This window comes from Homo sapiens, chromosome 5, assembly GCF_000001405.40.
Source record: "Homo sapiens chromosome 5, GRCh38.p14 Primary Assembly".
Lineage (NCBI taxonomy): Eukaryota > Metazoa > Chordata > Mammalia > Primates > Hominidae > Homo > Homo sapiens.
The window spans coordinates 160,216,689-160,228,819 of NC_000005.10; the positions used below are offsets into that span (position 1 = coordinate 160,216,689).

Consider the following 12,131-nt stretch of genomic DNA (forward strand, 5'->3'; position numbering starts at 1 on the left):
AATGACTGGTTGTGTAACCTTGGACAAGTCACCTAACCTTTCTGAACTTAGACTTTCTTTTCTGTAAGTAGGGATTATTACAGCCCTCTCAGAAGTTTGTTGCATGGATTAACAGAGATGCCATGTGTTGAGTGCTTAGCATGGTTGTCTGGTGCTTTGGGGTCATTCACTAAGTACCAAAGGAGCAATCAGTCTCCAAGACCCTGATTGGTTCTGAAGGCTACATGTAATCAAATTGTTCCTTTTAGTTAGTGGACAAGAGTGCAGGACCTGTAGCCAGACATCCTCCTCCGCTTACCACCTGGACATGTTATTTCTGAGCCTCTGTTTCCTCATCTACATGATGGGGGTAATATCAGGACTGACATACAAGACTGGTTGGGAGGATAGGATGATAATTTATGTAAAGCATTTAGCACAGGACTTGGCGCATTGCAGGTCCATGTTAGATCTTGGCTCTCAGTATTTTCCATCAACTGAGATGCTCCATGGGGGCAGCAAGTTTTGTTGAGGGCAGAACAGGACTTTTGGATGTCAGTTAGAAATGGCATAAGGCATAGAGTGGAGCTGTTAGGCAGGCAGTTGGATATACTAAGTTCAGAGTAGAGATCTGAGATGGAGGAAAAAAATTAGAGTCATCAGCAAAAGATGATATTTAAAGCTATTGGCTGGATGAAATCACCAAGGGAATGAGGGCTCAGAGAAAAGACAAGAAGAAGGGCTGAATGCTAGTACATCTGACACTTGGAGATGAGGGAAATGATTAACACTGCAAAGCTGGGAATTGGACAGAGCATCGTGGAAGCTGCACGGCCAGCCTGCCCCAACAGTTACTTAACACACTCACTTAACACACTCTTATATACTCTGTGCCAGGTGCTGCGAAAAGTACTTTACAAAAATGAACTCATTTATTTATTTTATTTTATCTTATTTATTTATTTATTTTATTATTATTATTATTTTTGGACAGAATCTCTCTCTGTTGCCCAAGCTGCAGTGCAGCGGCATGATCATGGCTCACTGTAGCCTTCCACTCCTACGCTCAAGTGATCTTCCCACCTCAGTCTCCTGACTAGCTGGGACTACAGACACATGCCACCATGCCCAGTTGATTTACTTTATTTTATTTTTTGTAGAGATGGGGTCTCCCTATGTTGCCCAGGCTCATCTCAAACTCCTGGGCTCAAGCAAATCTCCCACCTCAGGCTCCCAAAGAGGAGGGATTACAGGCATGAGCCTCTGTGCCTGGCCTATTTATTTATTTTAGAGTCAAGTCTTGCTCTGTCACCCAGGAGGTAGTGCAGTGGCACAAACATAGCTCACTGCAGCCTTGAACTCCTGGGCTCAAACGATCCTTCTTTTAGCCCCTCGAGTAGCAGGGGGACTACGGACACAGGCCACCATGCCTAGCTTAGGTTTTCTGTTTGTTTTTTTTAGGGACAAGTTCTTGCTGTGTTGCCCAGGCTGGTCTCCAATTCCTGGCCTCTGGCCTCCTGAGTCACTGAGACTACAGGTGGCAGCCACCACCCCTGGCTGAACTCACTTAACATTAGTAACATCCCCTTCAGATAGGCACCATTATTATCCAGATTTTGCAGATGAGAAAACTGAGACACAAAAAAATAAATAAGGTGCCCAAGGCCACAGAACCAGTAAGTGACAGAGCTGGGATTCAAACCTAGGCAGCCTGTGCCTAGAGTCTCTGTCTCTTTCGTGTCTCATTGTGGATAAACAAAGCGCCAACTGGATTTTCTTATCTTAGTCTTTGACTTTTTTTTTTTTTTTTTGAGATGGAGTCTCACTCTGTCTCCTAGGCTGGAGTGCAAAGGCGCGATCTCAGCTCACTGCAACCTCTGCCTCCCGAGTACAAGCAGTTCTCCTGCCTCAGCCTCCTGAGTAGCTGGGATTACAGGCACCCGCCACCATGCCTGGCTAATTTTTGTATTTTTAGTAGAGACGGGGTTTCGCCATGTTGGTTAGGGTGGTCTAGAACTCTTGACTTCAGGTGATCCTCCCACCTCAGCCTCCCAAAGTGTTGGGATTACGGGCATGAGCCACTGCGCCTGGCCTTTTTTTTTTTTTTATGAGTTGGGGTCTCATTCTGTCACCCAGGCTGGATTGTAGTGGCACAATCATAGCTCACTGTAGCCTCAAACTCCTGGACTCAAGTGATCCTCCCACCTCAGCCTCCTCAGTAGCTAGGACTACAGGCGCAAGCCACCATGCCTAGCTAATTGTTTTTTAATTTTTTTAGAGCCAGGGTCTTACTATGTAGGCCACACTGATCTCAAACTCCTGGTCTTTGATTCTTGAGAGTAAAACTAGAAGTATCATCATGGGAAAATATTGTTCTCAGAGGCTCCAGTTAGCTCTGACATTCTAGGGATCGATGCCAACTAGTATTTCAGATTTTAGTGGAGGAAAGAGGAAGGGGAGTTTAATCAAGGAATTGATAACTCTGATAGTTCACTTACTCTATGCAAGACCTGTAAGGTCCTGGGGATGGAGAGAATAGGAGGGTGCCCAGGGCTCCTCCTCACCCATGGACTCAAGAACCTGTATTCCCACCCCCTTCTCCAGGCATTACTCTGAGAATAATGGTAGCTGGCTGAGGCAGGGGCCAGAGTTCAGGTGGAAAGCTGGGGTGGCCCAGGGGAATTAGCCTTGGGCTCTTCTTTATCTCTATTGGGGTATAGTTGTTCTATTGGTTCTATTGCCTCATAAAACTTCACTGTGATATGGAGGCAGTTTGAGTTCATTCACCCCTCCGGGGAGGTTCTCAATGAGGGTCTGAACAAATAGGTAAACCCAGGAGAAGAGGGGAAGAGGCGGGCATGGGTGGATGGAAGGTGGAGGGTCAGATGTACACTTAGACTCTAGGGAAGGGGTGGGAGCATGGCTGAGTCAGTCAGCTGAGTGCCAATGTCATCCTTTCCCATAGCCCCACCACTCCCATCCTGCCTTGGACACTGACCTTGGAAGAGTAGCAACTAAGGAAAAAAACAGCTCTGACCGTGCAGAAGGAAATCAATGGGAAAGGGAGTTAAGCGGGGGCCTGGAGAAGCCACTTGGTCCTTCTTGCCCACATCCCCTGGCCTAGAGCTTCTCAAGGCTGCTGAGCAGTACAATCACTGGGGAGTTTGTCAAAATGCAGATTCTAGGGCCCCACCCCAGACCTACCAAACCAGAATTTTGGGGGGTCAGGTCACAGGGATTTCTATTTTTCACAAGCCCTCCCTTCCTACATCCCCAGTAGCGTATGAACACAGCCTTACAGCCTATTCCACATAGATCTGAACAAATAAAGTGAAATCAACACTATCCCAGTACCCACCAGGAATACATACAGAAGGAAAAATGAAATGCAGCTTGAGGCCTGGAAGGGATCACAATGTAGTTGGGAGATAAAAGACTCACTTTGTGAAGGGTTAAATTAATGCTGCAATATATAAACAGTAGTTCAAAATAGGCAGCTAGGCTGGACGAATTGCCAGTGAGTGAGAATAACAGTAGATATCCTTCAACAATCACCTGTGAAATGCTAGATCCTGTACTAAGCACTTTTGCTATGTACTTTCATTTAATCTCATTAAAACTCTGGAAGATCGGTATTTTTTTCCCCATATAATAATGAATGAGGCCAGGTGATGGCTCACACCTGTAATCCCAGGACTTTGGGAGGCCAAGGCAGAAGGATCGCTTGAGTCCAGGAGTTTGTGACAAGCCTGGGTAACAAGTGAGGCCTCGTCTCTACTAAAAGTTAAAAAATTAGCCGTGCGTGGTGGAGCATGCCTGAGGTCCCTGCCACTTGGGAGGCTGAGGCAGGAAGATCTCTTGAGCCTGTGAGGCTGAGGCTGATTGTGCCACTGCACTCCACCCTGGGTGACAGAGTGAGACCCTGCCTAATAATAATAATAATTATTATTAATAATAAATAAGGCTTTGCCTTATTTGTTAATTCTTCTCATATTAGCCTTCCCTCATACTCAGGAAGTGGTCGGGTAATGTTTCTGTGTTCCAAAAATATCCTTATGTTACAGTCTTTATTTCTTTGATCACATCATGTTGTAACTGCCTGTTTATGGGACTGTGTCTCCTACAAGATTTGAGGACAGACCGGGCGCCGTGGCTCACGCCTGTAATCCCAGCAGTTTGGGAGGCTGAGGTGGGTGGATCATTTGAGATCAGGAGTTCAAGACCAGCCTGGCCAACATGGTGAAACCCCGTCTCTACTAAAAATACAAAAATTAGCCGGGCGTGGTCTATGGGGGCCTGTAATCCCAGCTACTTGGGAGGCTAAGGCAGGAGAGTTGCTTGAACCCTGGAGGCGGAGGTTGCAGTGAGCCGAGATTGTACCACTGCATTCCAGCCTGGGTGACAGAGTGAGACTTTCTCTCAAAAAAAAAAAAAAAAAAAAGACTTGAGACTTGAGGACAGGTACTTGGTATTTCCAGAACCCAGTGAACTAGAGATGCTCAGGTGATGTTTGTTGAATGAATCAATGGTGTGTCTGAAGTCTCAGAGCTAAGACATGAGAAGGCTGAGTGACTCTAAAGCCCAGGTTCCCCCACTGAGTCATTACAAAGAGAAGGTACAGGCTCTGGGGATTTTTGCAAGGGACAATCTCTACAGGTTGGACTAATCAAAAAAGCCTGATTGGAGGAGGCGGGGGTGAAGGACAATTAGAATTCAGAAAGACTGATGAAAGGTGAGCAGTCATTCCAGGCAGGCCAAGGCAGGAAGGAGGGGTTTTACAAGGTACGAACTTCCTCCAAGACGAGAGACCCCAGAAGACTCCAGGAGACTGTGCCTCACCCCCTAAACCTTTCTAGCTCACTCACTGGCTGTCACCTTCTGGCTGACTTGCATCTCCATTACCGTGGTAAAATTATTTCCCCCAAGGTTTTCAGGGAGATGGTGAATTTTTCATTGTTTCTCATGCCTAGAGCATGGCGACAAAACATACTCTATTAGTGGATTTGTCCATTTGGCAAGTCCCTTTGAATAATGGATGGAGTTTTTTTTCAGTTTCCATGAAGAAATAAGACTCATTTATGTCCATGATGTATATCTATGTATATAGCTATGTGAAAAAGAGCAAGACAAAACAGTGTCTCCGAATTTCATTTTGGTTAAAACCAGTAGGAAAAAAGGATATGCACAAATATGTTTGTGTCCATGTGGAAAACATCTAGAAGTTTATCTACTGAATTTAACAGCAGCTGGCTCTGGAAAATGAGATGTAGTGGGATCTGCGGTTTTAACCTTTACAAAGTCTTAAGCTTTTGTCTTTTTAAACAATGAGTATGCATTAATTTTACAATTGAAAAATAAGATTGTTTGGAAGGATTATAGGTAGCTTCAAATTTATTTGTGTTTTGTTCTTTCCAAATTTTTTCTTTTCTTTTTTTTTTTTTTTTTAGACAGGGTCTTTCTCTGTCACCCAGGCTGAATGCAGTATTGCAATCATAGCTCACTGAAGCCTCAGTCTCCCAGGTGTAAGTGATCCTCTTGCCTCTGCCTCCAAAGTAGCTGGTACCATAGGCACATGCCACTACACCTGCTAATTTTTAAATTTTTAGTAGAGATGAGGTCTCTATATTGCCCCGGCTGGTCTCTTCCTACATTTTCTTTTCTTCTTCTTCTCTTTCTTTTCTTTTGAGATGGAGTCTTGCTCTGTTGCCCAGGCTGGAGTGCAGTGGTACCATCTCAGCTCACTGCAACCTCCGCCTCCCAGGTTCAAGTGATTCACCTGCCTCAGCCTCCCAAGCAGCTGGGACTACAGGTGCCCACCACCACACCCGGCTAATTTTTGTATTTTTACTAGAGATGGGGTTCCGCCATGTTGGCCAGGCTGGTCTCAAACTCTTGACCTCAGGTGATCCACCCACCTCAGCCTCCCAAAGTGTTGGGATTACAGGCATGAGCCACCATGCCCGGCCACAGATTTTCTACTATGAAGATATGTTACTTTTATAATCAGAAAATAAACCCCCTTTTTATTATAAAAGTTGTTAAAAAGAAAAGAAAAATTCTCAAGATGGCCCAATTTGTTATGTTGAGGGGCAGGAAAGTACCAAAGATGTTTGAAACTCTGAGTCCCAGTTAAGCTGGGTGTAAAGTAATTCAATCCCAATTTGACAAAACATTGTATGAGTTGTAAGAATGTTCTAGACCCCTTAAGTTTGTAGTCCCATCCTGGGGCTTTAGCTCAAGGAAATATAGGCATACCTTGTTTTATTGCACTTCACTTGACTGTAGTTCATAGATACCGTATTTTATTTTTATTTTTTAGGTTTTTTAGAGATGGGATCTGGCTCTGTTGCCCAGGATGGAGTGCAGTGGCATGATCATAGCTTACTTCAGTCTTGAACTCTAGGCTCAGGTGACCTTCCAGCCTCAGTGTCCCTGAGAAACTGTGTTTTTCACACATCAAATGTTTGTGGCAACCCCATGTGGAACAAATCTGTCAGCACCATTTTTCACTTTGTCTCTGGGCCACATTTTGGTAATTCTCACAGTATTCAAGCTTTGTTATTATTTTTATATGTGTTCTGGTGATCAGCAATCTTTGATGTTACCATTGTAATTGTTTTGGGGTACCATAAATTCCACTCATATAAGAGTGAATTTTTGCCCGCCCTTCCTTCCTTCCTTCCTTCCTTCCTTCTTTCCCTCCCTCCCTCCCTCCCTCTCTCCTTCCTTCCTTCCTTCCTTCCTTCTTTCCTTTCTTACTTCTTCCTTTTTTTTTGACAAATTCTCGCTCTGTTGCCTAGGCTGGAGTGCAGTGGCACAATCTTGACTCATGCAGCCTCTGCCTCCTGGGCTCAAGCGATCCTTCCGTCTCAGCCTCTCAAGTAGCTGGGACTACAGGCACACGCCACCACACTTGGCTAATTTAAACATTTTTTTATAGAGATGATTTTTTGTCTCACTATATTGCCAGGCTGGTCTGGAACTCCTGGGCCCAAGCGATCTTTCCGCCTCGGCCTCCTATAGTGCTGGGATTACAGGCGTGAGCTGCTGTGCCCTGCCAAAATAGTGAACTTCCATCCATTCCCCATCTCTCTTTCCCTCCTCAGGCCTTCTTATTCCCTGAGACACAATATCGAAATTAGGCCAATTAGGCTGGGCACGATGCTTTATGCCTGTAATCCCAGCACTTTGGGAGGCCAAGGTGGGAGGATCGCATGAGCCCAGGAGTTTGAGACCAGCCTAGGCAACAAAGTGAGATCCCATCTCTACAAAAAAAAAAAAAAAATTGGCCGGGCGCAGTGGCTCGCGCCTGTAATCCCAGCACTTTGGGAGGCCGAGGCGGGCAGATCACGAGGTCAGAAGATCGAGACCATCCTGGCTAACACGGTGAAACCCTGTCTCTATTAAAAATACAAAAAATTAGCTGGGCGTGGTGGTGGGCGCCTGTAGTCCCAGCTACTCAGGAGGCTGAGGCAGGAGAATGGCGTGAACCCAGGAGGTGAAGCTTGCAGTGAACTGAGATAGCGCCACTGCACTCCGGCCTGGGCGAAAGGGCGAGACTCCATCTCAAAAATAAATAAATAAATAAAAATTAAAAAATAAAAAAATTAGCTGGGCATGATGGTGAATGCCTGTGATCCTAGCTACTCGTGAGCCTGAGGTGGAGGATTGATTGAGCCTGGGAGGTTGAGGCTGCAGTGAGGCGTTTTTGTGCCACTGCACTCCAGCCTGGGTGACAGAGGGAGACCCTGTCTCAACAACAAAAGAAATTAGGCCAATTAATAAGCTGAAAATGTCTTCTAGGTGTTCAAGTGAAAGGAGGAGTAGCACATCTTTCAGTTTAAATCAAACATTAGAAATGATTAAGCTTAATGGGGGAATAATGAGATAGACCAAAAGCTGGGTCTCTTGAGTCAAATAGTTAGCTGAGTGGTGAATGCAAAGGAAAAGTTTTTGGAGGAAATTAAAATGCCACTCAAGGCTGGGTGTGGTGGCTCACACCTATAATCCCAGGACTATGAAAGGCTAAGGTGGGAGAATCACTTGAGCCCAGGAGTTTGAGACCAGCCTGGGCAACATAGTGAGACTGTCTCTACAATAATTTTTTCCTTTTTTTTTCTTTTTTTTTTTGAGACAGTCTTACTCTGTCCCCCAGGCTGGCGTGCAGTGGCATGATCTCGGCTCACTGCAGGCTTAGCCTCCCAGGCTCAAGTGATTCTCGTGGCTCAGCCTCCCAAGTAGCTGGAAATACAGGCACGTGCCGTCATGCCTAGCTAATTTTCTGTGTTGTTAGTAGAGACAGGGTTTTTGACATGTTGGCCAGGCTGGTCTCGAACTCCTGGCCTCAAGTGATCCGCCGGCCTTGGCTTTGCAAAGTGCTGGGATTACAGGTATGAACTACCATGTCTGGTCAAACCTGATAGCAGTTTTTTTTTTTTGTTTTTTTTGAGATGAAGTCTCACACTATTGCCCGGGCTAGAGTGTGGTGGTGTGATGTCGGCTCACTGCAACATCCACCACCTGGGTTCAGGCAATTATCCTGCCTCAGCCTCCCAAGCAGCTGGGACTACAGGTGCCCACCACCACACCTGGCTAATTTTTGTATTTTTACTAGAGATGGGGTTCTGCCATGTTGGCCAGGCTGGTCTCGAACTCCTAGCCTTGTGATCCTCCCACCTTGGCCTCCCAAAGTACTGGGATTACAGGCATGAGTCACTGGGCCCAGCCCCACCTTTTTTTTTTTTTTTTTTTTGAGGCAGAGTCTCGCTCTGTCCCCCAGGCTGGAGTGCAGTGGTGTGATCTCGGCTCACTGCAACTTTTGCCTCCTGGGTTCAAGCGATTCTCCTGCCTCAGCCTCCCAAGTAGCTGGGATTACAGGCACCTGCTACCATGTCCAGCTAATTTTTTTGTATTTTTAGTAGAGATGGGTTTCACTGTTTAGCCAGGATGGTCTCGATCTCCTGATTTTGTGATCCACCTGCCTCAGCCTCCCAAAGTGCTGGGATTACAGGTATGAGCCACTGCACCTGGCCCAACCTGACAGCTTTTCAGAAACATGGGACCGTGTTTACAAACTAATGCTGGGTGAAGAAAAATAGAATACAATATTGTATTTATGTGGCGTGTGGTTATTGTATATCTGTTACAGTTGATAAGAAAGAAAACAATAATGAGGGAGAAGGAGAGAAATAGCAAAAGAGGGAGGAAGAGAGTAGAAAATATAAGGCCGGGCAGGGTGGCTCACACCTGTAATACCCGCATTTTGGGAGGCCGAGGCGAGTGGATCACTTGAGGTCAGGAGTTCGAAACCAGCCTGGCCAACATGGCAAACTCCTGTCTCTATTAAAAACAGAAAAATTAGCCGGGCGTGGTGGTAGGCGCCTATAATCCCAGCTACTTGGGAGGCTGAGGCAGGAGAATGGCTTGAACCTGGGAGGCAGAGGGTGCAGTGAGTCGAGATGTGACACTGCACTCCAGCCTGGGCGATAGAGTGAAACTGTCTCAAATAAATAAATTAATTAATTAATAAAAGCAGTTTGCTTGTATTAGGGTTATGGGATTATAGGGATTTTTTGAAAAAAAGACGTTGAAAGCTATTTTAAGAGTAAATATAGGCCGAGCGCGGTGGCTCACGCCTGTAGTTCCAGCACTTTGGGAGGCCGAGGCGGGCAGATCACGAGGTCAGGAGTTCGAGACCAGCCTCGCCAACATGGAAAACCCCGTCTCTACTAAAGATACAGAAAATTAGCCGGGCATGATGGTGGGCACCTGTAATCCCAGCTACTCAGGAGGCTGAGGCAGGAGAATTGCTTGAACCTGGGAGGCGGAGGTTGCAGTGAGCCGAGATCGCCCCATGAGACTGTCTCAAAAAAAAAAAAAAAGTAAATATAAACTATACACTGGGGCTCTGTGACTTTGGCAAGGTATACTTTGTCAAGGTAACACTTCACTGAACCTCTGTTTGCTCCTAGGTGAAATGGGGGCAATAACAGTACATACTTCATAGAGCTGTTCTGAAGATTAAATAAGATCATTCATGTAAAACACTCAGCTGAGTGCCAAATGCATAATAAAGATCCAATAAATGTGAGCTATTCTTGCCATTGTTATTATTATCAGTCATTGTTGTATCATCATTATTATTATCAGTGAGGGGAAATTCTCACATGCTCTAGGCGGGAGTGTAAACTGCTATAGCTTTTCTGAAAGGCAGTAAAGTAATAGATATACAAATTTTAAATACTACAATCCTTTGTTCCAGGAATTTCATGTCTGGGAATTCATCCTTAGCAAGCAATCTTAGCAAATAATCTGACATGTACAGTGAAAGGTGTGAACAAGAATATTTTTATCACTGTTATTTATAATAGGAAAAGATTGGAAACAACCTAAAAATCCAGCAATAGCTAAGTAAGTTATGAGACATACATATGATAGAATACTCTGGAGCTGTTGAACAGGATATGATATACCCTTTTGTAATGATATAGACATGTGCCCATATCATTACATAAACAGGAGGTAACAGAGCAATATAGTCTCATTTATACCAGAAAATAAATATGTGCATTTAAAAGCCTAAAAGGGCTGGGTGTGGTGGCTCAGGCCTCTAATCTCAGCACTTTGGGAGGCCGAGGTGGGCGGATCATCCAAGTTCAGGAGTTTGAGACCAGCCTGGCCAACACAGTGAAACCTTGTCTCTACTAAAAATTAGCTAAGTGTGGTGGCAAGCACCTGTAGTCCCAGCTACTAGGGAGGCTGAGGCAGGAGAATCGCTTAAACCTGGGAGCGGAGGTTGCCGTGAGCCAAGATTGTACCACTGCACTTTGGCCTCGGCAACGGAGGGAGACTTCACTTCAAAAAAAAAAAAAAAAAAGGCATGGTGGCATGTACTTGTAGTCCCAGCTGTTTGGGAGGCTGATTTGGGAGGATCACTGGAGCCTGGGAGGTTAAGGCTGCAGTGAGCTGAGATCACACACGGCACTCCAGCCTGGGCGACAAAGAGAGACCCTGTCTCAGGAAAAAAGAAAAGGAAAGAAAAAGCCTAGAAGGAGAGGTACCAAACTACTATCACAGGCCACCTCTGACAGGACTCTCACTTGCTCTGAATTATTTGAAATTTTTATATATATAACTTAAAAAAATCCATGACGTGTGTGTGTGTGTGTGTGTGTGTGTGTGTGTCTGTCTGTCTGTCTGTCTGCCTGTTAGACTAAAGTAAGAGTCCTGGCTGGAGTTAGAAATTCCAAGATTGGAGATTAAAGCCTGGTAAAATGTGGCAGAGTTGGTTTTTCATCAGTTCAGAGACCGCTTAGTCCCAGGTCTGGGAGTCAGCAACTGTATTGAATTCAGCTTTAGATGGAAATGAAGGAGATTCATGGAGAGCAAGCCTGGGAAAAGGAAATAGACGTGCAGAGGTTTCCTGAATTAATAATAATAATTGGCCGGGTGTGGTGGCTCACGTCTGTAATCCCAGCACTTTGGGAGGCTGAGGCAGGCGGATCACTTGAGGTTGGGAGTTTGAGACCAGCCTAAGCAACGTGGAGAAACCCCGTCTCTACTAAAAATACAAAATTAGCTGGGTGTGGTGGTGCATGCCTGTAATCCCAGCTACTCTGGAGGCTGAGGCAGGAGAATTGCTTGAACCCGGGAGGCGGAGGTTGCAGTGAGCCGAGATCACACCTTTGCACTCCAGCCTGGGAAACAAGAGTGAAACTCCATCTCAAAAATAAATAAATACATAATAATCACGAGAGCCTTTGCAGAGTGTTTTATACTTTGCACTGTCAATTTTGCCCAATGCAGAGGACATTCTCACAAGATGGGTAGGCCGGAGTGATCACGGAGGAGATAGAGTCCCTGCATGTGAAGTGGTACTGAGAGACACAGCAGGAAATGGAAGTCAAGATTCTGAACCCCTAACCCCTTCCAGCTCTGAAGCTTGAACAAAATAAAACTCATCCAGCATCCAGCCCAGTGCCTGGTGCACAGGCATCTTCAAGGCACCTGGCACCTTCTCCTCCAGGTGCGCTGCCTAGGCCCATGGGTGGCTGCTTTACTCTGGTTGCATTATCTGCACCCTTAGGAGCATCTGTTCTCCTTCAAGTTTGCTTTGCTCCAGCTAAACTCATTGTTTCCTTTCATCATGGCCC

General features: G+C 45.6%; 1 protein-coding gene across 2 annotated transcripts in view; it reads left to right on the top strand.

Annotated features, from left to right (window-relative positions):
• Positions 1–12,131, top strand: part of FABP6 (fatty acid binding protein 6) — a 51,342-nt gene that overhangs the window by 29,308 nt on the left and 9,903 nt on the right. The window lies entirely within an intron of this gene.